We start from the raw sequence: 24741 nt of genomic DNA on the forward strand, positions 1-24741 counted from the left end.
AGGACCCTAAGCAAGAAAACCCAGCCATGTCTCTCTCGCAACCTGTCCTCGCCACCGCCGTCCAGCCCAGGCCCTTATTTCCCAGCTTTGGGAGGTTCAAGGACAACAGACGGCCTCTCTAGCATGGCCCAACCCTCCCCTCAGCCCGCGGGTGTTCCCTCACCCCCAAAACAAAACACAGCATTGCTCTTGGCAAAGGCTCTGACATGAGTGACTTAAGACAGGGAAGCGTCCTTGACCCAAAAGCACACTGAGAGCTGAACTCCAGGCATGAGTTCCCCATGGCCTCCCAGCCTGGTTCTTTCATTACTTTGCTCCCCAGTTTCTGAGCCTAGAATGTGGTGAGACCAACAAGCAGATACTAGCCTGAGACAGCAGGGCCAGGGCCACTGTGAACAGTCAAGCCTGTCCCCTCCCCTTACCCATCTTGGCTTTACCACATATTCCTGCCTCTTATTGTGTCTTTATTTGTCTCATCTTCCTGCTCTAACCCCCTCCCATCCCACTGAGGAAGCGCGATGGGAGAGGGCGGTTGCTCTCTGAGCCCCAGGGGCAGCAGAGTCATTAAAGACTCTGATGGGGGTGGGGCGGGGGGGGCCTTCCAAGAGGAGGGGGTGTGACCTGGGAACAGAGGGCTGGCCCTTGGGCAGAGGGCACAGACTAAGCTAAGATGCCCCGAGGAAGGGGGAAGGGCCTGGGTGCCACTGGCCATGGCCAGCCTCTGAAACTCAAGGCCTGGCCAAACCCTGGCTCACTCTCCCCTGGGGCTGATCTACTGGCCAATTTCTTTTTTTTTTTTTTTTTTTTTTGAGACAGAGTCTGGCTCTGTCACCCAGGCTGGAGTGCAGTGACACGATCTCAGCTCACTGCAACCTCTACCTCCCGGGTTCAAGTGACTCTCCTGCCTCAGCCTCCTGAGTAGCTGGGATTACAGGTGTGCGCCACCACACCTGTAATGAAATGTAATTTTTGTATTTTTAGTAGAGACAGGGTTTCACCACGTTGGCCAGGCTGGTCTCGAACTCCTGACCTCAGGTGATCCTCCCACCTCGGCCTCCCAATGTGTTGCGATTACAGGCATGAGTCACCGTGCCAATTTCTGTGGAAGCTGGTCACCAGGTTAAGACTGAAAAAGGAAACTCTAGAGCCAGCCCTGCAGCCTCCCTCAGAGACACACCCAAGTGGGCTATCTGGGGCTGCATGCCAGGCCCTGCTCTTCCTTTAGCCCCTCCCTTGCTGTGTGATGGGGACAGTCCACTCCCCACCCTCTGAGCTCCCACACCTACGATCTCCAGAGGTGGGAATTCTGGGAAAGCAAGTGTGTAAAACATCCATCACTCAACAGTCTCAACAAAGGTTAGTTCTCTCTACAGCAATTAGAATGGTTTAGAACTGGAAAGTCAGGTAGTGAGTTGCCTGATACTTGCAGTATTCACGTTGGAGCTCCATTACCATTCGACTGAGTCTTTTTTTTTTTTTTTTTAAGGGGAGTTAACGGGGCCAGTCTAGAGTAAGGCAGCTGAGGCACCTTGGGTGCACAATTTAAGGAAGAGCCTCTCTTGCCTCCCCTAGTCCCTGTCCTGGAAGCTGGGAGAGCTGGTCTCTAGGGGCTCACTGTGGCACCCAAATTGCGGCCCACCCATGGGTGAACCGGGCTTCCCTATGAACACTGAGAAGGCCCTTGTGGTTCCCACACACACTCTGAACACAGGAAGGAAGAGGAGGCATAGACTCTGGGCCATGGTGGCCCCAACTGCTCCCTAGTTCACCTTCCCCAGGCTTGTGAAGCCCTGCCACCCCTCCCCAAGCCTGGGTTCCTCCTCTTCCCTCTTCTTCTTCCTCTCCTGCCCTGATTCTATCAGGACCCAACAGGAAACCTGAACCCCCACCTGGCATCCCTCCCCAGTTCTACCTTCAAACCTCTCTCTGAAGGCAGATGCAGGCGCCCTTTAATGACTCTGGCCGATGTATTCTGTGAGGCCATGAGGGAAATCCTGGGCAGGCCTCATGGCATGCGCTTGTAGGGCCCAACGCTGACCAGCACAGAAGCCTACAACCCAAACAAGGCCTTGAACCCCAAACAACCTCCTGGAAGAGGGAGCTCTTCACCTGCCCCCACAGCCTTGTCCACAGAACCCAGATCCATCTCTGACAATATCTACTGTGTGCCAATCCTGTGCCAGGCACTGGGGCCATTATAGATGAGGTGGTCAGGGCAGCCCATCTTAGGAGGTGACATCTGAAAGGAGGACTGAATGATATGAGGGAGTGGGCCGGAAGGGAGGGCAGAAGAAACAGTGTGTGCAAAGGCCCTGCAGTGGGCGTGGGCAGGATAGGAGGAGCGGAGGCAGTGAGGGGGTGGAGGCCAGGACGGCCACCAAGGAGCTGGGATTCCAACTCAGGTTGGTCTGTCATCTGAGCCAAGGACCCCAATTCTCCAGGGAATGGGTGGGAAAGGGATTTGCCAATTGATCCCTGCACTACAGACCACAAAGCTGCACCAACTGTGAAGAAGGGTCAGCCACAGGGGAGGATGTGGCACAGGTGCTCATGGGATTCCAGAGCACACCCTCTCGGCCTGCTAATGGAGGCAGCAGGGTGAGGATGGGTGCCCACCATCCCTCCAGGGAGCTGGGCTGCACCCCACCTGCTGTTCTGCTCCCACCAGGCACTTCCTTGATCCTCCTAACTGGAGTCGGCGGTCCTCGTGTTCTCAGCTGGTCGTGTATCCAGCAGTGGCACAGGCTGCCCTTTGTGCACTCATGGCTGCCCCGGGGGCACAAGTGTGTGCCAGCTCTTCCCGGAATGGGACGCACCCATGGCTGGAGCCCCAGGTGCACCTGGGCGCAGGTCCTCTTGAGGAAACTAAGGCTCAGACGGAGGCCTCGTGCCCAAAGTCCCACAGCTGCCATATGAAGAATCTGGTACACAAACCCCATTCTGCGGCCCCAGAGCCTGCCCTTCAGCCCCAGCCTGTGGGGGACAGCAGTGAGCCCCAACTCCGGCCTGCCTCTGCCCTGACCAGCTATCCTCATTTGTCGCAGTTCAGTGAGTGTGTGCAGAGTGCAAAGACAGAGAGGACAACACGAAGCTCTTTAAGGCTCAGCTCCGGCACTGCCTCCTCCTGGAGGCTTCCTAACCACCACCCCCCCAGACCTATCCACCTGCCCTGCCAAATTAGAGGCTGGGCCTCAGCTGGGGGCCCCTCCTGTCAGGGCCTGAACCAGCTGTGACCCCAGCCTCACCCAGCACAGGGCTGACCACAGCAGGGACCCCAGTCAGAGGCCGTGCAGACTCCAGCCATGGCTTCCTCCACCCTCGTCTGCCTCCACCCCCATCCCCTAACTGGTGTCTCCCTGGGCCTCCCTTTCCCTGCCTGCTTTCTGAACACCACAAGCTATTGAAGGCCAGGCTGTTCCCTCCACCAGGAATGCCCTTTCCACCTGGTGAATTCCTATTCCTCCATCAAAACTTGCTCTGATGCCACCTCCCATTCTTCCCTTGTCTGTGCCCCTCCACATGCCAGCTCCCAACATACTGACCGTCTGACCCTATAAACCTCAGAGCCACGTTTCCTCCTCCCCACTAGGCTCTTCCCGGAGCTACAGGTGTGCGGAATTACCCTCAGCAGCACCTGCGAGATGGCAATTACATGTGATGCTGGTCGGCACCAATTCAGACACCTTGTCCGAGAGGTGGCCCAGGGCACATACTTATCACTGGCAGCTGAAAACAACCCACGGGCCTGATGCAGTGGCAATTCTGGGAGTAGCCCCTGCTGCTGGGCACCTGTTTTCAGTCAAAATGGCAGTGCTAAGGTTAGGCGCAGGGGCTCACACCTGTAATAACAGCACTTTGGGAGGCAAAGGCAGGCAGATCACTTGAGCCCAGGAGTTCAAGACCAGCCTGGGCAATGTAGCAAGGCCCCATCTCTACAAAGTTTTAAAAATAGCTGGGCATGGTGGCATGAGCCTGTAGTCTCCATTACTCTGGAGGCTGAGGTGGGAGGATCCCTTGAACCCGGGAGTTCAACATTGCAGCGAGCTGTGATTGTGCCATGGTATTCCAGCCTGGGTGACAGAGCAAGACCCCGTCTCTAAAAACAAACTGGCTCACGCCTGTAATCCCAACACTTTGGGAGGCTAAGGCAGGCAGATCACGAGGTCAGGAGATCAAAACCATCCTGGCCAACATGGTGAAATCCAGCCTCTACTAAAAATACAAAAATTAGCTGGGCGTGGTGGTATGTGCCTATAGTCCCAGCTGCTTGGGAGGCTGACGCAGGAGAATCATTTGAACCCAGGAGGCGGAGGTTGCAGTGAGCCGAGATTGTACCACTGCACTCCAGCCTGGTGACAGAACGAGACTCCATCTTAAAAAAAAAAAAAAATATATATATATATATATATATATATATATGTATACACACACACACACACACTCACACATACACACACACACACATATATATATATATTTCTCCCTCTTGAGTTGTTTCTCTGCAGCTTGTTTTAAAGCTCATATGAAGGCAGCAAGATGTTTTCGAGCTGCCAGGCTCCAGTCTGGAAAAGATAAAGCCCTTTACAACCTTCCCTACAACGTATTCCCTTTCCTTCTAGCATCACCGGCACTGGGTGATGGTCATTGTCTTTTATGTACTTTTGGTGGCTTTGCTTAGTCCCAAGGCTGTGACCAGAACTTTGAAGGTGCTTTCACTCACATTTCCAAGGCTGCCTTGATGTGTTTTGCACAGAAACCGCCATCTGTGGCCAGATGGCCACTCTGCCCGTCCTCCCCCAGCCAGAAACACTGCTTCCTCAGCAGGTTCTTTTTGTTTGTTTGTTTTGAGACAGGGCCTCACTATGTTGCCCAGGCTGGAGTGTAGTGGTATGATCATGGCTCACTGCAGCCTCAACCTCCTGGGCTCAAGCAATCCTCCAGCTTTAGCCTCAGCCTCCTGAGTAGCTGGGACGACAGGCACACTCCACCATGCCAAGCTAATTTTTTTAGTTTGGGTCTCACAATGTTGCCCAGGCTGGTCTTGAACTCCCAGACTCAAGCGATCCCCCTGCCTCAGCCTCCCAAAGTGCTGGGATTACAGGCGTGAGCCACTGTGCCCAGCATCAATTATCTTCCATGGAAGCCAAGGATAGGGTGCTTGTTCCCCATGGCGGGGGGTGCTCCCCACTGGCCTAGTCAGCCCCATCCTGTCTCTCACCAACTCCAGACCACCACATGGTAGATGCTCAGAACTTGGAACCATAGCCTGGTACATCCTAGAAACTTCCAGCACAGGCTCCTTGGGTAATTGCTGCTAACATTTGTTGAGCTAAACCTATCGCGTGCCAGGTACTGGTTAGGTGCTCTAAATGGTGATTTGTTTGTTTTCTCTAAAACAAACAGGGCCTTGCTATGTTGCCCAGGCTGGTCTTGAACTCCTGGTCTCAAGCAATCCTCCAACCTCAGCCTCTAAAGTCAATAAGATTATAGGCGTGAGCCACTGCATCTGGCTAAATGGTGATAATAATAACACTAACTGGCATTGGTTCAGGGCCTACTATGTGCCATGCACTGCTTAAGCCTTCACTCATCGGATCCCCACAATTCCAAGAAGCTGCTTTTAGTACTGCTCCCTTTACATTGTTAAGAACCTGAAGGTTCTTGGACTTGTCCAAGGTCATACAGTAGGGCTGCTTGTTAAGACCCCTGATCCCAGCCTTCTAGCTGCAGGGAGCACAGGGACCCCAGAGCCTGGCAGGGGCAGCATGCAGAGGCAAGGCCTGCTGGGAGACAGGTGCAGGGACGGGGAGTCAGTTAGGAAAGGAGCTCAAACAGGGTTCGGGGTAGGCCACAAATTCCCCCTAGGGGGATGGACCCCCAGCCCCGTCCCACCTCCCACAAGCCCCAACCCAGCAGGGGACCCACACCTGGAGCCAGTCTCAATGGCTCCCTGACCTCTCACCCCTGAGCCAGTTAAGGCTTTCCCCACCTCACCCCCGACACACACAGCCGCCCCTGTGGAGCACATGGTGCAGGCTGTCACACACTGTCAGTGCCCAGGGTCAAAAGGCATGTCCACATGGCCCGTGGCTGCTAGGAGACAAGGTCAGAGGCACTTCCTCTGGCCGGCCTGGGCTCCACCTGTCAGCAGGCAAAGTCCAGATCCCAGGCCTCTGCTGGCAGTGACTCCTGCCTGGAGCTGACCGGGTCACTCAGGATGTTTGTGTCCAGCTAGGTGAATGTTGGGCAGAAGGTAACTCCCAACCCGGCTGAGACAAGGGAACTTTATCTTGGAGCACTAGGGAGCCATGAATGGTTGGAGACCAGGGGAGTTCTGTGCTGTAAGCTAGGGCAGTAACTAGTCTAGAGCTGTGTTTTCTAAGGAGTGCCAGTGCTTGGTGGAACTAGGGAGAGAACTGGGGCATGAGATATCCTGGGGAGAGGTATGGGGTGGCAGAGCGGGCCCCCATTGTGCCCTACCAGGGCTGGCCTGGACCCAGCAAACAGCCAGACACATGACTAGAAGCAAGGCCCTGTTGTGGCTGGGCTGGGCATGCTGGGAGGGACATCAGGGCGGGAGAACTCTGAGAACGCACTGCTCGGGGCAAGGTGACACCCAGAAGGGCTTTCTGGGAAGCAGCCTCTGACGGGGCTTGGCAGACATCTGGGGTCCGACAGACAAAGAGCAGACATGACGGGGTCCAGGCATAGGAAAGAGACCCCGAGGCCCTGTTCCAGGCTCTTGGCCAGAACTCTGTTTCCGTCTGCCTCTTCTGCACTCATAAGCTTGTGCAAAATTGGATAAATTAATCCTCAGCAGGGAGGTGAAGACTGCCACGGGCTTAACAATAATCCCCAACACAGGTACAGGGCCATCTCCTGATCCATCCTCCCCCGACAGCTGCAAGGTACTCTGAGGCCCAGAAGGAGACAGGCTCACCTGAGGTCTTGGTGCAGATGCAGGACTCAAACCCAGGGACACTATAGCCAGGGCAGTGCCTTCACCCACAGATGCAAGGACTCATGGAGGCAGCTCCATCCCCAAATCCATTCACATGACAAGAGTTTGGCTGTGGCAGGCAGCAGGACCGGATGGGGCCCAAGGCCCTTGGCTGGCTCACCAGGGCTGGTTCCCAGTCTAATGACTCAAACACTGCTCTGGACTGGGATGGGGAGGTAGCCACATAGCCTCTGACCCCTCTGTGACCCACTTCCAGGCCCCCAGAGTAGCCCCTGTGGAGGAGCCTCCCTCAACCCCTCATCCCCATTCTTAGGAGCCCAGTGCTTAAGAGCTTAAGAGCTAGGCTCTGGAGCCCACAGCCTGGGTTTGAATTCTGGCTTTGCCATCATCTGGCTGTGTGATCTCAGGCAAATCACTTAACCTCTCTGGTCCTCAAGGCCGTCATCTTCATCATATGTCTACCTACTTGGGGTTGTCAGGGGATTAAGTGGGATTATCAACACACTGTCTGAAACACAGTAAGTACTCAATTAGTGTTTTCTGTTCACATTACGATCCTCCATCCAAGCAGCCAGAGGGAACTGAAGCTCGGTGTGCCCCTGCTCTGACCCCCGACTGTCCTCACATCTAGCCCAGCTCTGCACTCTGGCACTCAAGGCCAGCCTGGCCCCCTCTTATCCCTCATGTCTCTCAAGGGACCTGGCATTTCCACCCCCAAATCTTCAGACCTTATCAAACCTGCTCAGCTCCACTCCTGGTAGAAGAAGCTTCAAAAGCAGGCTCGACCTCTGACCAGCAATTCCCCTCCCAGAACCTCATCCTAGGAACACAGTGAGGATCCGGGCAAAGACTGGCCTCAGTGGCCAGGCACAGTGGCTCACGCCTGTAATCCCAGCACTTTGGGAGGCCGAGGCGGGCAGATCATGAGGTCAGGAGATCGAGACCATCCTGGCTAACACGGTGAAACCCCGTCTCTACTAAAAATACAAAAAATTAGCCAGGCATGGTGGCACGCACCTATAGTCCCAAGCTACTCGGGAGGCTGAGGCAGGAGAATGGTGTGAACCCGGGAGGCGGAGTTTGCAGTGAGCCGAGATCGCGCCACTGCACTCCAGCCTGGGTGACAGAGCAAGACTCTGTCTCAAAAACAAACAAACAAAAAAAAAAAAACAAAGAAAAAAACCGGCCTCAGTGTCCACTGCAGCAGTTTATAAAGATAAAACAACCTAGGTGTCCATCGACAGGGAATCAGGTGGGTAATAAGAGGAAACCTTACTGTCGTCTGGCTGTTGACATGGAACCAAGCAGATTCCAATCAGCTGTGAACCAATGGACCCTATTTTAATTTATAAAAATACAGATCCAGCCGGGCGCGGTGGCTCACGCCTGTAATTCCAGAACGTTGGGAGGCCGAGGTGGGCAGATCACAAGGTCAGGAGATCGAGACCATCCTGGCTAACATGGTGAAACCCCATCTCTACTAAAAATACAAAAAAATTAGCCGGGCGTGGTGGCAGGTGCCTGTAATCCCAGCTACTCGGGAGGCTGAGGCAGAACTGTTTGAACCTGGGAGGCGGAGCTTGCAGTGAGCCAAGATCGCACCACTGCACTCCAGCCTGGGCGACAGAGCAAGACTCCGTCTCAAAAAAAAAAAAAAAAAAAAAAAAAAAAAAATATATATATATATATATATATATACACACACACATACAGATCCACAGCTGCCCGGGGCTGGGAGCAGGAACAGGAACTGACTAAAGAAGTATAAGGGATCTCACTGTGTGATAAAAATGTTCGACAGCTAGTAATTGTCACACAACTCAAAAAGTTAACTAAAAATCATTGAATGATATACTAAAAATGGGTAAATTTTGTGATACATAAAGTATACCTCAATAAAGTCGTTTTTAAAAAATTGATGAAGGCCGGGCATGGTGGTTCATGCCCTGTAATCCCAGCACTTTTGAGAGGCTGAGGTGGGCAGATCACCTGAGCTCAGGAGTTCGAGACCAGCCTGGCCAACATGGCCATCTCTACTAAAAATACAAAATTTAACCAGGCGTGGCGGTGCATGACTGTAATCCCAGCTACTTGGGAGCTGGAGAATCTCTTGAACCTGAGAGGCAGAGTTTGCAGTGAGCTGAGATCATGCCACTGGACTACAGCATGGGCAAAAGAGCGAGACCCTGTCTCAAAAAAAAAAAAGTTTATGAAGAGTGTGCACCCATCCCCAAACACATATAAACACACAGAGAGAGAGAGAGAGAGAGAAGAAAAGCTCTTTCACATAATTAGCAGGGCTTATCTCTGGGTGGTAGGTTTAAAGTTTTTTTTGAAACAGAATCTCACTCTGTCATCCAGGCTGAGTGCAACGGCATGGTTATAGCTCACTGCAGCCTCTAAGTCCAGGCTCAAGCAATCCTCCCACTTCAGCCTCCAGAGTAGCTGAGACTACAGGCACATGTCACCCACACCCAGCTAATTTTTTATTTTTGTAGAGACAGGATTTTGTCATGTTGCCCAGGCTGGTCTCAAACTCCTGGACACAAGTCATCCTCTTGCTTCGACCTCCCAAGTGCTGGGATTATAGGTGTGAGCCACCACCCCAGGTCTAAAGATTTTATTTTCTTCTTTTTGCTCACTTGCATTTTCTAAGTTTTCTACAATGAAAAAAGATGTGTGTAATTGGGAAGAAAAACAGGAAGTTTGAATAAAAACTGAAAAATCCTCTACTGAAGTGGGTAAAGCTGAGCCCTGCCTAGTGAGAAGGGGCTGCCCCCAGTCTTCAAGGGGCTGGGACTGCCCCCACTCTCTCATAGACTAGACCTTGGGCCACATGGCTGCCCATGCCTGGCCTTTGGTTCTGGAGAGACAATGTTTTTATCCATGAGTCAGTAAGAAAGGTCTGTATCAGACCTCTGGCCCAGACCAGATTCTGTCAGTAAGAAAGGTCTGGGCTGGGAGCGGTGGCTCACACCTGTAATCCCAGCACTTTGGGAGGCTGAGGCGGGCGGATCACAAGGTCAGGAGATCGAGACCATCCTGGCTAGCACAGTGAAACCCCGTCTCTACTAAAAATACAAAAAATTAGCCAGGCGTGGTGGCTGGCGCCTGTAGTCCCAGCTACTTGGGAGACTAAGGCAGGAGAATGGCGTGAACCCAGGAGGAGGAGCTTGCAGTGAGCCAAAATTGCGCCACTGCAGAAAACAAACAAACAAACAAACAAAGGTCTGTATCAGACCTGTGGCCCAGAACGGGTTCTGTTGTCCAACTTGCCCATGAAGGGAGGGTTTGCATCATTTTTCTGGAGGTGGAAACTAAGGTTTAGAGGGTGAGAGGGCTTGAGCAGGATGACAAAGGAAGTGAGGAGTGTCCAGGTTCAAGTTCTGACCCCAAAGCGCATGTCCTCCTGGCTTGGTCACGTTGCCTCTTGGGACTACACTCACTGGGCCCAGTGATGTGGAACTGGTAGTTGAGTCAGGCCCAGATCTCCCTAGGGCTTGGGATTTCAGGGTTCATCACTCCAGAGGGCAGTGAAGGACAACCCCTCGTGCCAGGGATAGGGGAGGCTGTTTTGGAAAAGCCTCACAATCAGGGCCTCTCCTCTGGGGTCCTCCCCTAGCCCAGCCCCAGGGGGAAGGAGGGAGGGCTGGGAAGCTTCTGGGGCTGGCAACCAGCTGGGCTCATCTGCAAGGCTGCAGTAGGGCAGGAGTGGTGGTGGCATAGATATATCTGTTTTGCCAACCCCAGGGTGGCCACGGGTTCCATGGACATGTCCATTCAGGCTGTGAGTCTAGGCATCTTGTTCCTGCGACCTTGGCCTCAGTTTCCTCATCAACCAAGTGCAACTTAGCTAGTGCTGCTAAAACTCCTGCACAGAAACCATGCAGGCAATTTGCTAGGGGCTTCCGTTTGCTCTATCTACAAAATGGAAGCAACGGGCCTCCTAATTGGCACTTGGTGCCACCATTGGCCCCAAACCCCTTCTCATCACAGCCAGGGTGATGCTCCAAAGATGGAAGCCGGTGCCACTGTTCTGCTCCGCCCTTTCCCTGGCCGACCAAGTCGGTTTGCGTCCTCCTCCTCCCTGACCTCACTCCTTTGCAAGCCTCTAACTCCTCACACTTAGGCCCTGCCTCGAGGCCTTTGCCCTTCCCTTGCCGTGGCCTGGAAAACATCTTTCCTTGCTGGTCCTGGGGGTGACCCTCAGGTCTCAGCTTAGAAGTCCCTGACCGCTCTACCCAAAGTAGCCACATCCCTGCCCTCCCCCAGCCTCGCTCCACCCAAGGTACAACTAAATACCCGTTTGGTTTCCCGGGAGATTTTTGTGTTCCCTAAAAGAGGGGGTACCCAGGTCTGTCTGTAAACCCTCGGTGCCTAAGACGGGGCCTGGCATTCGGTGGATGTCAGTGAATGAGTGCGGAGGCTGTGCCCGTCGCAGACCGGGAGAACCCGACACGAGGCGGGGGAAGGGCGCGAGGCAGCGCCCATGCGCATGCGCAAGAGCTCCGACGCCGAGCTGAACTCTCGGGCCGGAGGGAATGACCGTGAGTAACCTCGCAATTACGTCACGGCTGGGGCTGGGGCGGAGCTTCGGCGACGCCTGGGTCCCCAGCTTCAGCCGTGGCCATCACAGGGCTGGAGAGTCACCGGTCGGGCGGCACCCGGCCTGGGACGCGTAGAGGCGCACGTGTCCCGGCCCGGAGCCGCCAAGGGACCCCGGCCCGGCCCAGGAGCCCTCACCCACAAGCGCGCGGCCCGAGACGCTAGCGCGGGAACCAGGGAGGCTCGGTGAGGCTCGGGACACCGAGCTCAGAGACACCGGGAAGTCCCGCGCGAGCACAGCACGGAGCTGGCGCCCGTGGGGGAGACAAAGGCCAGGGAGACACCTGCGCGCCCCCTACTCGCGCCACCCGGCGCAGCTTCAAGCCCTGCCCGCCCTGACGCACCTTCGATGTCGGTCAGCAGCGCCGCGTCCAGATCGCACGGCTCGCCCAGCGCCTGCTCCAAAGCCGCCTCGCTGAAGGGTGGCTCGTCCATGGCGCAGCCGCCTCCTCCGGGAGGCCCGCCGGGCCCGCCGCCTCGTACGGCCCTTCCTAGGGAGCGCCGCCGCGGCCCCGGCTCTCAGTCGCCGCCGCCGCTCCGCGCGTTCGTGTCCTGCCCTGGCCTCAGAGGCGGCCCGGCGCCGGCGAAAAGTTCCTCGGAAACTGGGTTCCCCCGGCCGCAGCTCTGCTGGGCGGTCGAGGCGGAGGCGGGGCCTTTCGGGGAGGACCCGCCCTCCCAGATAGACGGCCCCGCCCCACCTTGAGAGAGCGGGGGACCCCTGATCCCCGGTCTGCGCCACAAATCTCCCCTCAGCCGGCCCCTCCTCCAGAGCGCCCTCCAGTCATTCATTTTATCCAGCCTCGCGCACAATGGCAGCGGCCTCTGGCCGGCTGCTGCGGGAACGCGGGCAAGCCGAGCCCCCTCTCTGGGCCTCTGTTTCTCCAGCACCAAGCAAGGAAGCCGAGTGGAAGCCCCAGGCCTGGGCCCATCCCAAACTTCATTTCCTCATTTCCTAGATTTGACTCTTTAGAACAAGACAGACCAGGATCCAAGTTATAGGGGTCCCAGGCCTGCTGTGTTGTGAGCAGGCCTGATGTAACTGCTGGGCCAGTTACATCACTCTGCCTCAATTTTCCTCATTTGTAACATGGGCCTAATGATGCTTTCTCACGGGCAGGCTGGGAGGCTAGTGACAATGTGGAGGGGAGCATGACCTGTGAGATCAGCCTGCCCCCTCTCTGCAAAGAAACCAGAAGATTGGCCTCTTGAGGACAGGAGTGGCCAAAGAAAGAGGCTGGAATTTCGTCATCTGGTTTCCTCCCAGATCCAGCTGTAGGGATAGGATACCAGTGGGCCCAGTGCAGCTCCTGAAGGAGGAAGCCAGTACCCAAGGAAGACTGGCCCCAGGGCTGTCTGACCCCAGATTTGGCACTTATTCCCAGGAGCAGCCAGGATAGGGGCCGCAAGGAAGAGGTAGCTGTGCTTTAGATCAGAGCCAGGCTGCCCTGGATCATCACAAGCTGGGACTAGATCAGAGCAGGCAGCCCTGTTGAGAAGAGGGCTGGAAACCGAACCTGGTTCTGTGGCCTAGGGACAGAGCCAGGTGGGGCAGGAAGGAGGGAAGGGGTCCCAATGAGGTGGGTTGAAATAAACCAGAATTAACATTCAGGAATCTGAATGTGATAAGGCAGTGAGCTCCCTGTCCCCAGAGGTATGCAAGCAGAGAGAAGCACCCTTGGTGGAGGGCAGTCCAGGAAACTCATCAGGGGCCTGGGCCTCAGGCCTTCCCGACCCCAGACCTTCATAAGTCAAGCCATCCTGCAGACTGCCTTGCTCAAACTCCAGATATAGCCTATCTGGCCACGCCCTAAGCAGGAGTAACATTCATGATGCATTTTAGAAGGGGTGTGTGGGGGAGAGAAGCCACAGAGCCCAAGTCCCTGGGGCTCAGCCTGGACATCCAGCTCCCTTTGTTCCTCTCCCAGAAGTGGCTGCGGTGGAAAATTACCCAGAATAGCGGCGCCAGAAGTCATAGGGGTCGCCAAACCACATCTCCCCAAGTAGCCCTGCTCAAGGGTCCACCCAGGACCCACTCCCTCCAGATGAACAACTGCTGGAGAACACAGAGAACAAAGCTGGCTTCTCCTCAGTGCCCCACCCCCACCAACACTCTAGAGGCTGCAGGAAGCTGGTGACTTCCCTGAAAATTTAAACAGCCCTTCCCAGGGAGGGGGTGGGATAGGAAGTGCTGGGTGAAGCCTAAATACCATTTTCTTCAGAGCTAGGCAGGTGATCTGGGTTTTCACCTGCTTGCTGTGTGACCTGGATCCAATACCTCACTTCTGAGTCTCAGCTACTGTATCTATAAAATGGGAATAACCCTTTCTGCAGTCCCTCTGCAGAGGCAGGGAGGGTGTTTTGGAGTCATCATCACAACAGATCTGCCTCACTGTTTTTTGTTTTGTTTTGTTTTGTTTTTTGTTTTGAGACAAAGTCTCTCTCTGTCACCCAGGCTGGAGTGCAGCGGCATGATCTCGGCTCACTGCGACCTCCACCTCCCAGGTTCAAGCAATTCTGTCTCAGCCTCCTGAGTAGCTGGGATTACAGGCGCACGCCACCATGCCAGGCTAATTTTTGTATTTTTAGTAGAGATGAGGTTTCACCATTTTGGCCAGGCTGGTCTTGAACTCCTGACCTTAGGTGATCCACCTACCTCGGCCCCCCCAAAGTGCTGGGATTGCAAGTGTGAGTCACTGCACCTGGCTATCACTGTTTTTGTTGTTGTTGTTGTTGTTGTTGTTGTTGTTTTTAAGACAGAGTCTCGCTCTGTTGCCCAGGCTGGAGTGCAGTGGCACAATCTTGGCTCACTGCAACGTCGGCCTCCCGGGTTCAAGCATTTCTTTTCCCTCAGCCTCCCGAGTAGATGGGATTACAGTCATGCACTACCACGCCCGGCTAATTTTTGTATTTTTAGTAGAGATGGGGTTTTGTCATGTTGGTCAGACTGGTTTCGAACTCCTAGCCTCCAGTAATCTACCCACTTCGGCTTCCCAAAGTGCTCGGATTACAGACGTGAGCTACTGCACCCAACCCGCCTCACCGTTTTTAAATGGGTTACCACATATGTAAATAGAATAGCTCAATAAATATTCACTCCATAACTGCAGGAGTTAGGGGAAAGGGAAAGAAGGTAAGACAAGGTCAACAGAAGACCTGCACCCCAGAAAATCCAACCCCCATGGGGCACAGTCCAACGTGGGGGTGGGAAGAATTTACATCTTTGCCACCAAAGAAACAAATCTTTGCCCCACAGCCTGGGATTACCAGGGCAACCCTCAACGTGAGGGTAGGGGAAAACAGAAGAGGGGATCCATTTTTCAGGGGGAACATGCTTGTCTTGGCAGTTTCTCTCCTCAAAGATCCTGAGACCTCCAAACAAGACCCTCGGGCCCCGGTTGGCTGGGGAGCGTTGAGCACGCCCAAGGAACGTGGACACAAGCCCCTCTGTAATGGTGTGCCTATCAGGGGTCAGGGATCCAGCCTGGTCCACGGTGACCCCGGCGGGCAGGTTCGGCACAGTTTACTTGCTGAGCGCTTACAGAGTGTTCAGTGCGGTTTAAACCCATTCACTCCTCTCGACAGCCTCAGGCGGTTGAGGCTGTTACCATCCCATTTTACAGATGAGTAAATTGAGGCACGTGGAGCGGGACGGTGAAGCGACTTGCTCAGGACCTCACAGCACTGCTGCCCCTGGTTTTGTCTGGACTGGAGGTAGCCGGAGAGCCGGGGCGGCTCCGCACGCGCGCGGGCCAGGGCAGCGGCTGGAGACCCAGGGGAGCCGGGGCGCAGAGCCAGACCAGCCCCGCCCCCGCGGGCCCGGCGCAGCCAATGGGCGCCCGGCCCGGAGTGGGGTGACGCGGCGTCAGCGCGTAACTCCCGGGAGCCCAGCCCTGGGTCACATGCGCCGCGCCCGCTCTACCCGGGAGGTAGGGAGGGGCGGCGGGGACAGGCTGGGCTCAGCCCCCAGTCCAGACACCTGGCCAGGAATGCCGCCAGGTGCGCGTCCCGGGCACCGGAAGGGCTAACACGGGACAGCCCCACCCGGGACTGCGTGGCGCGCCCAGAGCGGAGGATTCCTTCCAGGTCACCCAGCCCGGCCCCTGCCCGACCTCGGCGTTGCCAACTGGGAGATAGGAATTCGCATCTCCCCGCTTCCTCTCCAAGCCTCTTAGAGACTGAGAGGCAGCTTCTGTGGGTTTCGAGCCTTTTCGGGCAGGCGTCCAGCACGGGCAGGGCCTCTTCCAGGACGCTTGTCCTGTCCAGCCATGCCCTCGGTGCCCGGAGCTCAGCCGTGGATGGCAGGGCAGGCACTGGGCAGGAAAACTGGGTTGTCCACTCTAGCCATTGCCTAGGCTACTGAAACCCCTCCCCACTCCCAGAGCCCCCCTGCCCCCCTGCCCCCCTGCCTGGCCCTGCATATCCTTCACTGCTGTGGGAGCCAAGCTGGGACCTGCCCAGGTTATGGCAGAGGGGCCAGGCTGTGGGAAGAGACTGCTCAGAGCCTGAGTCTCCCCTCCCCCACTTCTCCATCTGTATATAATGGGGTCAGATGACTGTTGACATGGGTGATTCTGGTCCTAGATGACGCTCGTGGTCTCATTCCAGCTTGGGCTCTGTGGTGAGCTGGGCGAGTTCTTTCCAGCCCTCTCTGAGCCTCCATGGCCAGCTTTGCCCCTGGAGGCTCACACCCATGTGGGCACCTGCAGGCTTATCATGAGTCACTGAACACACCCTCTACCAAAGAGCTACTTGAACCCCAAAGATTGCTGCACAGTGAGGGGTGTAGCTCACAAAGGCTGAGGAAGACTGATACCTGTTCCCTGGGGGGTAACTGGCTGTTTGAGGAGAGGCCAATTGCATATTGAATGGGGTGAGTCTAGCCGGCAACAGGGAGAGTGAGGAAATCAATGTAATAAGGCCCCTGTGGGCATTGGGTTTACCACCCACTACACCAGTTTACCGATCAGGAGAGTAAAGAACAGAGTGAGACAGTGACTTACCCAACACCTACAGTTAAGCCTGCAACCCTAGGGAGGAATGGGGTGGACAGGAAATGGCACCAGACAATGGAGTCCACTCAATTTCCGGAAGCATCCTACTTACTCCCTAGTGCTGAGAGTAGAGATTTTGCGTCCTGGAATGTTGAGGGCCTGGGCTTGGAGGCCCTGGACAGACTCCTCTGAGGTCTGCCCCAAAAGCTCTGACAGGGACTCCTGTAAAATAAACTGATGGCATTTCTGGGTGGGTCATGCAGACCTGTCCAAGGCCTCAGGTTCTGCCCTCCCGCTGCCCCCAGGACCCAAAGGAGACCTTTTTCTTGGAAAAACCACAGGCTCCCACAATGCTTCCCTCAAGTGTGCAGCTTGAGTGCCCTGGGGCTCAGCTATGTGCTCAGAGCCTCCTCTCCTGCAGGCCCTGGAAGAGAGCTACAACACTTAACTGGCTGCAGAGTGTCCTTGACTCTGGGAATAGAACCAGGCTGCACATTCCCCAAGGGCAGGACTGGAGCAGCCCTGTCCCTCCCCTCTGGCACCAGCCTGGCACACAGCAGGCTCTCAGGAACACTGCTGAAAGCACAAGTGGCCTAGGTGTCCTGGTGAGTCCACAGTAGTGTCTCAGCACCAATCTACTCTCCACAGGGTAGGGACAGAGCTCAGGCCTCTTTCAGTGCCCACATTGCCTGGTACAGTGCTGGGGGCACATAATGAGCCAGGATCTATGCTATCTGTTTAAAGGGACCTGGGTTTGCAGCCCCCCACCCCCACTTCAGGAGCCCACTCCCCTTCTCCCCTGGGTGTGGGAACCTTTATCTCACTCCAACTGGTCAGAAACAGGGCTCTGCAGAGCTCCCTGGAGCCCAGGGAGGCAACTGGCCAGAGGTAGCTGGGTGCCGCCCCTTCTGGCTACGACTGGTGATGGCGGTGGTCCCAACACGGCCCCTGCCGTGACCTGACTCCTATCAGTGGGCAGGAGAGCCCCTCCTGAGCCACGCTCCCAGAAGGGCTGCTGTTCAGGGTAGGTGGGGCAGCTTTATCTGCTGGCCATGGAAGTGGTGTCTTTCCTGCCCACTTCATGGACCTGTCTGGGAGGTCTGGCTCTGGGTTGGGTACTGGTTCTGCCACTACTCCCTGTGCAGCCTGGGGCAAGCCTACAGCTCTTTCTAGTCCTCCATGTCTTCACTGGCACAGCAAGAGTTTGGGAAGATCTCCAGGTTCATCGGGGGTTTGGTGAGTCCACCCTGACTTGAGGTCTGTCCTTAAGCCCCAGCGAAGGGATTAAAGGGCCCTCGGCCTCCCAAGCCACTTGGAGAAGGCACAGTTCCCACAGGCTCCCACAATGCACCCCTCATGACCCCCTATGCCTCTGGGCCTGAGGGGCCTGCTTCCAGGAGGACAGCTACCTTACAACAAAGGGCTGCAGGTGCCCACCTCCAGGACAAGGGGAGAGGGGGAAGGAAGCCTTTTTAGAAAGGGAGAGCAGGCTGTGGGGATGGGAGGAGACAGGTTTCTTTTGGGGGGAATAAAAATGTTCTAAATTTGGTTGCGGTGATGATTGCCCAACTCTATGGATATTCTGAAGACTACTTAATTGTACACTTTAAATGGGTAAATTGTATGCTATGTGAATTATATCTCAGTAAAACTGTTAACAAAGTGTGAAGTCTACCTGGCTTGGAGCAGCAGTTCTCAAATTCAGTGCCCAGCACAGGCTCTGCAGATGATGCCCAGCCAAGCTGTGGGAGTCCAGCCGAGGGTGGGGGCTGGGGCTTAGAGGGGGTCAGGGGTGGCTCAGGCCTGCTTGCTCAAGGCCTGGGTGCCCTGGGCAAGGGTGAGTGGCCTCCTCCTGCCCATCTGGGACCTGGGGTGAGACCTAGGAACAACCACAGCACTTGGTCCTAGAGCTCTCAGGCAGGTTGTAGCAGGCTTACAGCCACTCCCACCGATGTCACAACCTGGGCCACGCACAGGAATTTTCCTGGCCAGGTAAGGGGCTGCTCAGGCAGCCTGGCCACTGGGGAAGGGTGGACTGAGGGTCCCCATGGCCACCCCTGCTTAAATAAAGCAGGTGGTCAAAACTGGCAAGCCCTTTGGACAGTCGTAGCCAATTCAACAGACCACACAGGCATAATTTGTTCAATTATTTATTTATTGTGGAGTATTTTACATGCAAGAACCCAATTAGAGAGAGGGTATCTGGAAGGAGGGCCAGTGGGGTGGATGGATGCTCTGAGCCTCGGGTGCACTGACCCACCCTCCAGAACCAGCTCTGCCCACAGAAACACATGACAGTGACAAAAACACTAAACTTCTAGGACGAGTGGACAGCAAACGCGACATTCAACACATTCCTCTTTTCAGTAGCCCCCAACAATCCTGAGAATCCTCACAATTAAGTGCAAACTTTAGGAAATAAATATCCGTCCCCCTCTCCGGGAGAGCCTGGAGGTATGGACAGACAGAAGCAGTTCTGACTCGGGGGCTGATGGCTGCTCCCTATGGCTGGTGGCCGCAGGGGAAGCCTGACTTGGACCCCACAGATAGGAAGGGCTGGTGACGGGCACTGGGGGAGGCGAGCACTTCAGGGGCTGACAGACAATGTCTCTGGGGTGGAAACACTTCTCTCTGGGTGGGGAAGGCCTACTGTAACCCAAGTGGGTGAGACGTCCCCAAAGCCGACAGTGCAGAAGCTCCCAGGGACCACTCCAGCAGTGCCAGAGGCTGAAGCCAGGCTGCAAGCAAGTGCTCCTCCACACTGCTCTTCCAGAGCTGCCCCAGGGGCTGGCCTGGCCCCAGGTGGGCCCATGGCCTACCCCAAGCCATCCAGAAGGCTGGGCCCAACTGAGTTAGAGATGCGTGTCTGCGGGGGCCCAGGGTGGGGTGTGGCAGCGGGAAGGAGGGGGGCAGGAGCGTGAGCATCGGCAGCAGCTGCCCTGCGAGCATCTGTTGCCCTTGGGCCATGTGGAGCCCTTGCCCCAACTCTCCGGGCTGGGTCCTCTCCTCCCCAGGGGCTGGAGTGACAGCACAGGCCCCAAGACCACCAGGTGGCATGGTGGGGTGGTGGGGGAAGGCTAGTGAACCAAGGCACCATCACTCACATGGAGGCGCTAATAGAAAGACAGGAGGACAGACGGATGGTCACCTTTCCCTCTAGCCCAGGCCAGCAACAACCCCTTGAGGCTCCAAAGCTCCTTGTCCCATGCACGCTGGTAAGCGAGCCAGTCATTCTCTCAGCCTGGCCACAGATGGCCTGCTCAGTGCCTGGAGACTGCCCAGGCAGGGCTACTCTGCAGCAGGCAGGCCAAAGGCCCATGGTGCCAGGGGCCCAACTGCACATAGCGCCATTCTCTGCCGCCCAGTGGCCAAAAAGGTAGGCAGGAGGGAATGGTTAGTTTTCACATCTCAGCAACAATGAACGCAGAAAGGGTTAAACACATTCCCAAGAAAATATTTTGACAAAATAAATATTTTAACCTATAATCAGGTATAATTAGTGCTTATAAGGAATCCCAGCAATAATTTAGTGTAATTAAGTATATACTGTATCTGTGATTTCTAACACTCACGGAGAGGCTGGTGGGCCTTGAGAGTCCAGGTTTCCTGACAGAGCCGCACCCCCTTCCTGGACCAGGCAGCCTAAGGACTGTGCTCCCCAGATGGTGGGGTCTGGGAGCAGAGATCTCAGGACAGGCCATCTCGCCAGGGCTAAGTGGAACCCACTCTGGGGCACCGGGGCTATACTTGCTTCCTGTGCAGGCCTCAAGCAAGAGCCCCCTCTGCCTACAGGTGGGGCAGGCTACCTCCGGATAGGAGGTGCAAGCAGGCCACCTGAGGGGTGGCTCCAGGCTAGGAAGGCAGGTGACACTTGTCAGCATGGCCAATGGCCTCCTGCCAGCCCATACAGGTCCACCACTCCCTGCTGCCCCTGGGGCAGCCAGGCCTCTCCAATGATGCCTGGCAACCAGCTGGCGCTGGCGCTGGAGCTGGAGCGGGGCAGTTCTGGGAGTGGGTATGAAAAACAGTTTTGCTGGGGGCTCCCCAGGAGGGCGCCTATTTCAGCTTCACGCACTATGGAATCCCTGCTCCTTTCAGAGCCTCCAGGCTCCTGACTTTTTGGGACTCCTGGTTCCATGAGGCAGGGAGGCTGGCTCTTCCCTCTGAGGACACTGGGTCTGGGATGCAGTGCTGAGGCTGCGGAGCACTGACTGCCCGAGGTCGGACCGCCCACCACCCGCAGGCCCAGCTCTGGCAGGGCCTCAGAGACAACCCAAGTCACAACCCAAAGGCAGCCAAAGGGCTGGGGCCTCTGGGTGCACCTGGGCCATCCCAGCCACCTTTTCTGCAGCTCAAGTGAAGCCAGCTAACTTCAGCAGTCTTCACATTCAAGCTGGCCTCAGGGGGGTCTGTCTTTGAGAAACATTGAGGAGGCAGGGGCTCATCAAGCATCAGGGAGCAGAAGGCCCAGGCAGGTGTGGCATGTGCTGCCAGAGAGGACAGGGCTAGAATCAGGCTGGCCACTCCACGGAGGAGCTTCCTGGGTGAACCTGAGCAACTGGAGTGAGACATCCCAGCTAGTCCCACCCTCAGCCAGACAGAGGTTTCCTCTCTGGAGGGAGCTGGAGGGCTGCTAGCCTGGCACAGGGTCCTGGGTCGGGCAGCACTTGCTCTTCACTGGAATAGTTCCTGTTGGTGCTCAGCATGACCCCCAGCTGAAGTCGCCATCCTGAATGCTCCCCAACGACCATGTCGCTGGTCTCTTCTCCCGTCAAGCCCAGCCCCCTTTCCCTGCTTGGCTGGTGGTCTGGGCCGTCCTGCCAGGTGGGAAGGGCTAACTACACCATGGATCAGGAACCTGTGCTGACCTAGGCAGTGCATGCTGGAGGGGACAGGAGCAGACTGACCCAGCGAGCTGGGCCCAAGACACACGGGGATGCATACAGCTGCAGTATTCTCCTTCTGAGCAACAGCAGCCTGGTGGGAGGTGTGGGGCCAGGTGTCTGGCTGGACCAGGGCCTGGGATGACCCGAGTCCCTTGCCCATGGCCAGGAGACACACCAGTGAGGACACGGGATGGGAATACATGTTACCAGCCCCTAGCTGCTCTGCCTGCCTTCAGGATCAGCTTGGGGAGAGAGTATAAATTGGTGGCCAGAGGACCTCTGAGGTGGGAGGAGGCCAGACTGTCAGGAGAGTCTGTGCAAGGAGGCCAAGGCCTATGCCAGGGAGCAGAGCAGGGGCCTTAGTGCTGCCCAGGCCTCTCAGTCACTGGGAACCTCCAAGGATGCCACAAAGCTGTTTGCTGCTGGCTCTTGAGGCAGATGTGTGAGGCTACGGCAGGCCAGGCCACAGCACTGAGTGTGGCCCATGTGCACATCTGTGACACTTCCCCAGGCAAGCCAGAGCAATACCTCCAGTGCAAGTCCCTCCACAAGCCAGGACCAGGTGTGCGGGTGTGAGCCTGCAGTGTGTGCGTGGCAGTTTGGTTTATTGGTAGTGTCGTCTCAGCAGCGTGCCACATGGCCACCATCTGCGGGCTGCCTGCTGCCCTCCCAATTGTCCTTGGCCCTCTCCCTGCCCAGGGAGCCTGCAGGGACCCTCGGTGCCAGGCTCGGCTGCTGAGCCAGCTTGGGTGTGAAGCCTGGGCTGGCAGCTGAATGATGGAGAGAGGGTCAAGAAGGTGAGAGACCCCCACCATGGAGACCCAGCAGAGCCTTCTCAAATGCTGATAAGCCAAATGTCACAAGGTGACAAGTCCAAGGAGTGAGACCAGGCCCATGAGTGCAGCACACCCTGCTCTTCCAGAGATGCCACAAAGCCCCTTCAGGGAGAGAGGGGCCCAGGAGGGCAGAATGCCTGAGAAGGTCGCTGAGCCAGGCAGAGGTGAGCACAGGGCGGGGCCGGGCGTGCTCTTTCTCCATGGGCGGGTGGAGGAAAGACAGTCCGGGTGGTCTGCTCAGGAAGCACTGCCTGGGGCTGGGCCACTCTGCCCGCTCTTCCTGGGAGGAAACATGGGCAGAGGGGCCCATGGTGGGAGGGGAGAGAGTCTCTGGCTGCAGTTGTCCCACCACTCAGAGAAAAGAAGTGGCTGAAGCTGGTCCTGACTAGTGGGAGGCCTGGGAGCAGACACGGTGGCATTTCCATGGAAACACAGGTGTGCAGGCCGTGTGGAGCTGGGGATGTAGGAGTGGCCAGTGCCCGGTGTCCACGGGGTGCGAGCGGGGACCCGCCATCTGGGGAGGCAAACCACAGAGCTGCTCACAGGGCGAAGAGGGCATCCTCTGACCGCTCTGGCTTCTTCCGGCCAGAAGGGTTTGAGGCTGGGGCAGGAGCCTCCATGGGGGGCGAGGGGAGGTCGGGAACCATTTCAGCAGCTTTGGCTCTTTCTTCAAGGAATTTATCAAACTCTGCAATACAAACCAAGGCAAGGGTCAGGGTTGGTGAGGGCAGGCCACCAGAGGAAGCGCACCCTTCCACTCCCCAGCCCGTTTCCTCCTCTAGGGCAGGCATGAAGCCCACCTAGGAGCAGGTGGGTAGGGAGGGGTTCGTGAGCTGCAGTGTGGGGGGAGGCTCCTGGCTGTGCCCAGTCCTCCTGCCCTGGAGGGAAAGGCTCTGGAAAACACAGCCCAGAGTGCTCACCCTACCGCTGACCATTTTCCAGATCAGCACTGGGTTTTGTCCATTTTCCAGATCAGCACTGGGGGTGGGGCAGGGTAAGCTGGAGGGGCCAGCTTCTGATTAAACAGGCAGGAACCATCCCACCTACCCCACCCTTGCCCACCAATGGAGGACTGAGGAGATGCTGAGGAATGCAGTGGGGAGGGGGGAGTGCCCCATTTCTATGGGCACTGAGAGCTAGGGAGCAGGGTCCTCTGAAGTTTCCCTCCCTGCGGAGCGGTCTGGCCACAGGGTCTGGCAGACCTGGGGAGAGGAGGACAGGAGCACGGAGAGGCAGATGGAGTGGGGCAAGATGAGCTTGGGGAGGCAGGATGTGAAGGGCAGGGGATGTGGGGGTGGCCATGTGGGAGAACTAAGACCCCGCTGCTCCCATCCAGCCCATCAGCTGAGGCCCAGGAGAGGCTCCTCCCTTCTGGCTCAGTGGCCCAAGGGTGCTGCTGCGCACCTCCACAAACTGCGTGTCTGAGCTGGGCTGAGCACCTGTGGGTCAGGACCAGGTGGCAATCTGCACCCGCTATTCACCAGCTCTGCAACTTTGTGGAATTGACATGTTCTTTCTGACCTGTTTCCCAATAAGCGAGATAAATCACACTTCCCAAATCAGCGTAAGACCTGGGTGGGACAAAGCCACCCGTGAAGCCCATGGCTCAGGGCCTGGCACCAGTAGGTGCTCTGGCAGCGGGGGCTCCAAGATGATGGGGGCTGGCTCCTGTGCAGCCTGCACAGAGGCAACAAAAGGGGGCTGTAAGGCCACTGGCCAGGCCATACCTTCACTTGTGACACCCTCCTCCAGATCATCACCCTTCTGTGGGAGGAGCAGAGAAAATGAAATTAGGGCACTGGTCCAAGCACTGCCCGCCCAGCCACCTCTGTCTGCCCATGGCCACCCTAGGACAGCACTGCCCAGGGTAGCCTGAACAAAACTTCCTAATTTTCCCTGTTTCCAGATTTCTGTAATAGTAAAATACTGCTCTTCTTATTGGAGAAACAGAAGCTTTGTTTTTAAAAAACAAAAGCAAAAAATTCAAACATGTTTTAGGTTTTGATCCTCCAGAAAGGCTGGAAAGAAAACTCCAAAAACGGTGCAGGCTGGTTCTCCAGCCTGGGCTGCAGAGGGCGGGACCCCACCTTTGGCACTCTTGAGGCTCTAGGGAGAGGCACAGAGCAGTAGCCACAGGGGGCTGAGCCTGAGCACACACAGGGTCACGTGTGCCCAACACAACACCCACTCACTGCCAGCCACAGGGTTTCTGGGAAGACGCTGTTGACACCAATAGCTGGAAACCGCATGAGGCCTTGATGGCTCAGGGCCACAAAGCCCACAGCACAGGGCCTGTCACTCAGTAGGTACTTTGGGAGTGGAGGCTGTGCCTCCAGAAGCCATGTCCTGCAGCCTCCTGGGAGCTGCACCAGCCTCCTCCCGTGGCCCAGATTATATTATCTGCTGCTGGCTCCTCAAGGAGCCATGGAGGCTCTGTGCACTCAAAAATTAAAGTGCATCAG

General features: G+C 56.4%; 2 protein-coding genes across 33 annotated transcripts in view, besides 16 other annotated features; both read right to left on the bottom strand.

Annotated features, from left to right (window-relative positions):
* Positions 1–12170, bottom strand: part of SREBF1 (sterol regulatory element binding transcription factor 1) — a 25653-nt gene extending 13483 nt beyond the window's left edge. For all 16 annotated transcript variants that reach the window (NR_170990.1, NR_170944.1, NR_170943.1 and 13 more), the window contains exon 1: positions 11911–12170. Coding sequence is in view for 12 of the 16 variants with exons in the window: in NM_001388394.1 (NP_001375323.1) it covers positions 11911–12001 (91 nt within the window). In the remaining 4 variants the exon portion in view is untranslated. The remainder of the gene's footprint in view (positions 1–11910) is intronic.
* Positions 2331–3052: an enhancer, noted in NCBI's record as "H3K27ac-H3K4me1 hESC enhancer chr17:17730461-17731182 (GRCh37/hg19 assembly coordinates)". NCBI's record gives its function as "activates a minimal SCP1, AML or CMV promoter by ChIP-STARR-seq in primed H9 embryonic stem cells {active_cell/tissue: H9 hESC(primed)}" and the evidence as "EXISTENCE:reporter gene assay evidence [ECO:0000049][PMID:30033119]".
* Positions 3053–3774: an enhancer, noted in NCBI's record as "H3K27ac-H3K4me1 hESC enhancer chr17:17731183-17731904 (GRCh37/hg19 assembly coordinates)". NCBI's record gives its function as "activates a minimal SCP1, AML or CMV promoter by ChIP-STARR-seq in naive H9 embryonic stem cells {active_cell/tissue: H9 hESC(naive)}" and the evidence as "EXISTENCE:reporter gene assay evidence [ECO:0000049][PMID:30033119]".
* Positions 5552–6300: an enhancer, noted in NCBI's record as "H3K4me1 hESC enhancer chr17:17733682-17734430 (GRCh37/hg19 assembly coordinates)". NCBI's record gives its function as "activates a minimal SCP1, AML or CMV promoter by ChIP-STARR-seq in naive H9 embryonic stem cells {active_cell/tissue: H9 hESC(naive)}" and the evidence as "EXISTENCE:reporter gene assay evidence [ECO:0000049][PMID:30033119]".
* Positions 6301–7048: an enhancer, noted in NCBI's record as "H3K4me1 hESC enhancer chr17:17734431-17735178 (GRCh37/hg19 assembly coordinates)". NCBI's record gives its function as "activates a minimal SCP1, AML or CMV promoter by ChIP-STARR-seq in naive H9 embryonic stem cells {active_cell/tissue: H9 hESC(naive)}" and the evidence as "EXISTENCE:reporter gene assay evidence [ECO:0000049][PMID:30033119]".
* Positions 11045–11946: an enhancer, noted in NCBI's record as "NANOG-H3K27ac-H3K4me1 hESC enhancer chr17:17739175-17740076 (GRCh37/hg19 assembly coordinates)". NCBI's record gives its function as "activates a minimal SCP1, AML or CMV promoter by ChIP-STARR-seq in naive H9 embryonic stem cells {active_cell/tissue: H9 hESC(naive)}" and the evidence as "EXISTENCE:reporter gene assay evidence [ECO:0000049][PMID:30033119]".
* Positions 11549–11828: a silencer, noted in NCBI's record as "silent region_8258". NCBI's record gives its function as "represses an Ori minimal core promoter by ATAC-STARR-seq in GM12878 lymphoblastoid cells {active_cell/tissue: GM12878}" and the evidence as "EXISTENCE:reporter gene assay evidence [ECO:0000049][PMID:35858748]".
* Positions 11947–12849: an enhancer, noted in NCBI's record as "NANOG-H3K27ac-H3K4me1 hESC enhancer chr17:17740077-17740979 (GRCh37/hg19 assembly coordinates)". NCBI's record gives its function as "activates a minimal SCP1, AML or CMV promoter by ChIP-STARR-seq in primed H9 embryonic stem cells {active_cell/tissue: H9 hESC(primed)}" and the evidence as "EXISTENCE:reporter gene assay evidence [ECO:0000049][PMID:30033119]".
* Positions 12019–12178: a silencer, noted in NCBI's record as "silent region_8259". NCBI's record gives its function as "represses an Ori minimal core promoter by ATAC-STARR-seq in GM12878 lymphoblastoid cells {active_cell/tissue: GM12878}" and the evidence as "EXISTENCE:reporter gene assay evidence [ECO:0000049][PMID:35858748]".
* Positions 12850–13751: an enhancer, noted in NCBI's record as "H3K27ac hESC enhancer chr17:17740980-17741881 (GRCh37/hg19 assembly coordinates)". NCBI's record gives its function as "activates a minimal SCP1, AML or CMV promoter by ChIP-STARR-seq in naive and primed H9 embryonic stem cells {active_cell/tissue: H9 hESC(naive and primed)}" and the evidence as "EXISTENCE:reporter gene assay evidence [ECO:0000049][PMID:30033119]".
* Positions 15171–15600: a silencer, noted in NCBI's record as "silent region_8260". NCBI's record gives its function as "represses an Ori minimal core promoter by ATAC-STARR-seq in GM12878 lymphoblastoid cells {active_cell/tissue: GM12878}" and the evidence as "EXISTENCE:reporter gene assay evidence [ECO:0000049][PMID:35858748]".
* Positions 15171–15912: a biological region, named in NCBI's record as "H3K27ac-H3K4me1 hESC enhancer GRCh37_chr17:17743523-17744042".
* Positions 15393–15912: an enhancer, noted in NCBI's record as "H3K27ac-H3K4me1 hESC enhancer chr17:17743523-17744042 (GRCh37/hg19 assembly coordinates)". NCBI's record gives its function as "activates a minimal SCP1, AML or CMV promoter by ChIP-STARR-seq in primed H9 embryonic stem cells {active_cell/tissue: H9 hESC(primed)}" and the evidence as "EXISTENCE:reporter gene assay evidence [ECO:0000049][PMID:30033119]".
* Positions 15981–16050: a silencer, noted in NCBI's record as "silent region_8261". NCBI's record gives its function as "represses an Ori minimal core promoter by ATAC-STARR-seq in GM12878 lymphoblastoid cells {active_cell/tissue: GM12878}" and the evidence as "EXISTENCE:reporter gene assay evidence [ECO:0000049][PMID:35858748]".
* Positions 17049–17550: an enhancer, noted in NCBI's record as "H3K4me1 hESC enhancer chr17:17745179-17745680 (GRCh37/hg19 assembly coordinates)". NCBI's record gives its function as "activates a minimal SCP1, AML or CMV promoter by ChIP-STARR-seq in naive H9 embryonic stem cells {active_cell/tissue: H9 hESC(naive)}" and the evidence as "EXISTENCE:reporter gene assay evidence [ECO:0000049][PMID:30033119]".
* Positions 18695–24741, bottom strand: part of TOM1L2 (target of myb1 like 2 membrane trafficking protein) — a 128890-nt gene continuing 122843 nt past the window's right edge. For all 17 annotated transcript variants that reach the window (NM_001288789.2, XM_047435389.1, XM_047435386.1 and 14 more), the window contains 2 exons: positions 24007–24043; positions 18695–22967 (listed from right to left, as the gene is read on the bottom strand). In NM_001288789.2, coding sequence (NP_001275718.1) covers positions 22819–22967; positions 24007–24043 — 186 coding nt within the window. In that variant the 3' untranslated portion in view covers positions 18695–22818. The remainder of the gene's footprint in view (positions 22968–24006; positions 24044–24741) is intronic.
* Positions 19451–19971: an enhancer, noted in NCBI's record as "H3K4me1 hESC enhancer chr17:17747581-17748101 (GRCh37/hg19 assembly coordinates)". NCBI's record gives its function as "activates a minimal SCP1, AML or CMV promoter by ChIP-STARR-seq in primed H9 embryonic stem cells {active_cell/tissue: H9 hESC(primed)}" and the evidence as "EXISTENCE:reporter gene assay evidence [ECO:0000049][PMID:30033119]".
* Positions 23730–24576: an enhancer, noted in NCBI's record as "H3K4me1 hESC enhancer chr17:17751860-17752706 (GRCh37/hg19 assembly coordinates)". NCBI's record gives its function as "activates a minimal SCP1, AML or CMV promoter by ChIP-STARR-seq in primed H9 embryonic stem cells {active_cell/tissue: H9 hESC(primed)}" and the evidence as "EXISTENCE:reporter gene assay evidence [ECO:0000049][PMID:30033119]".

This window comes from Homo sapiens, chromosome 17, assembly GCF_000001405.40.
Source record: "Homo sapiens chromosome 17, GRCh38.p14 Primary Assembly".
Classification (NCBI taxonomy): domain Eukaryota; kingdom Metazoa; phylum Chordata; class Mammalia; order Primates; family Hominidae; genus Homo; species Homo sapiens.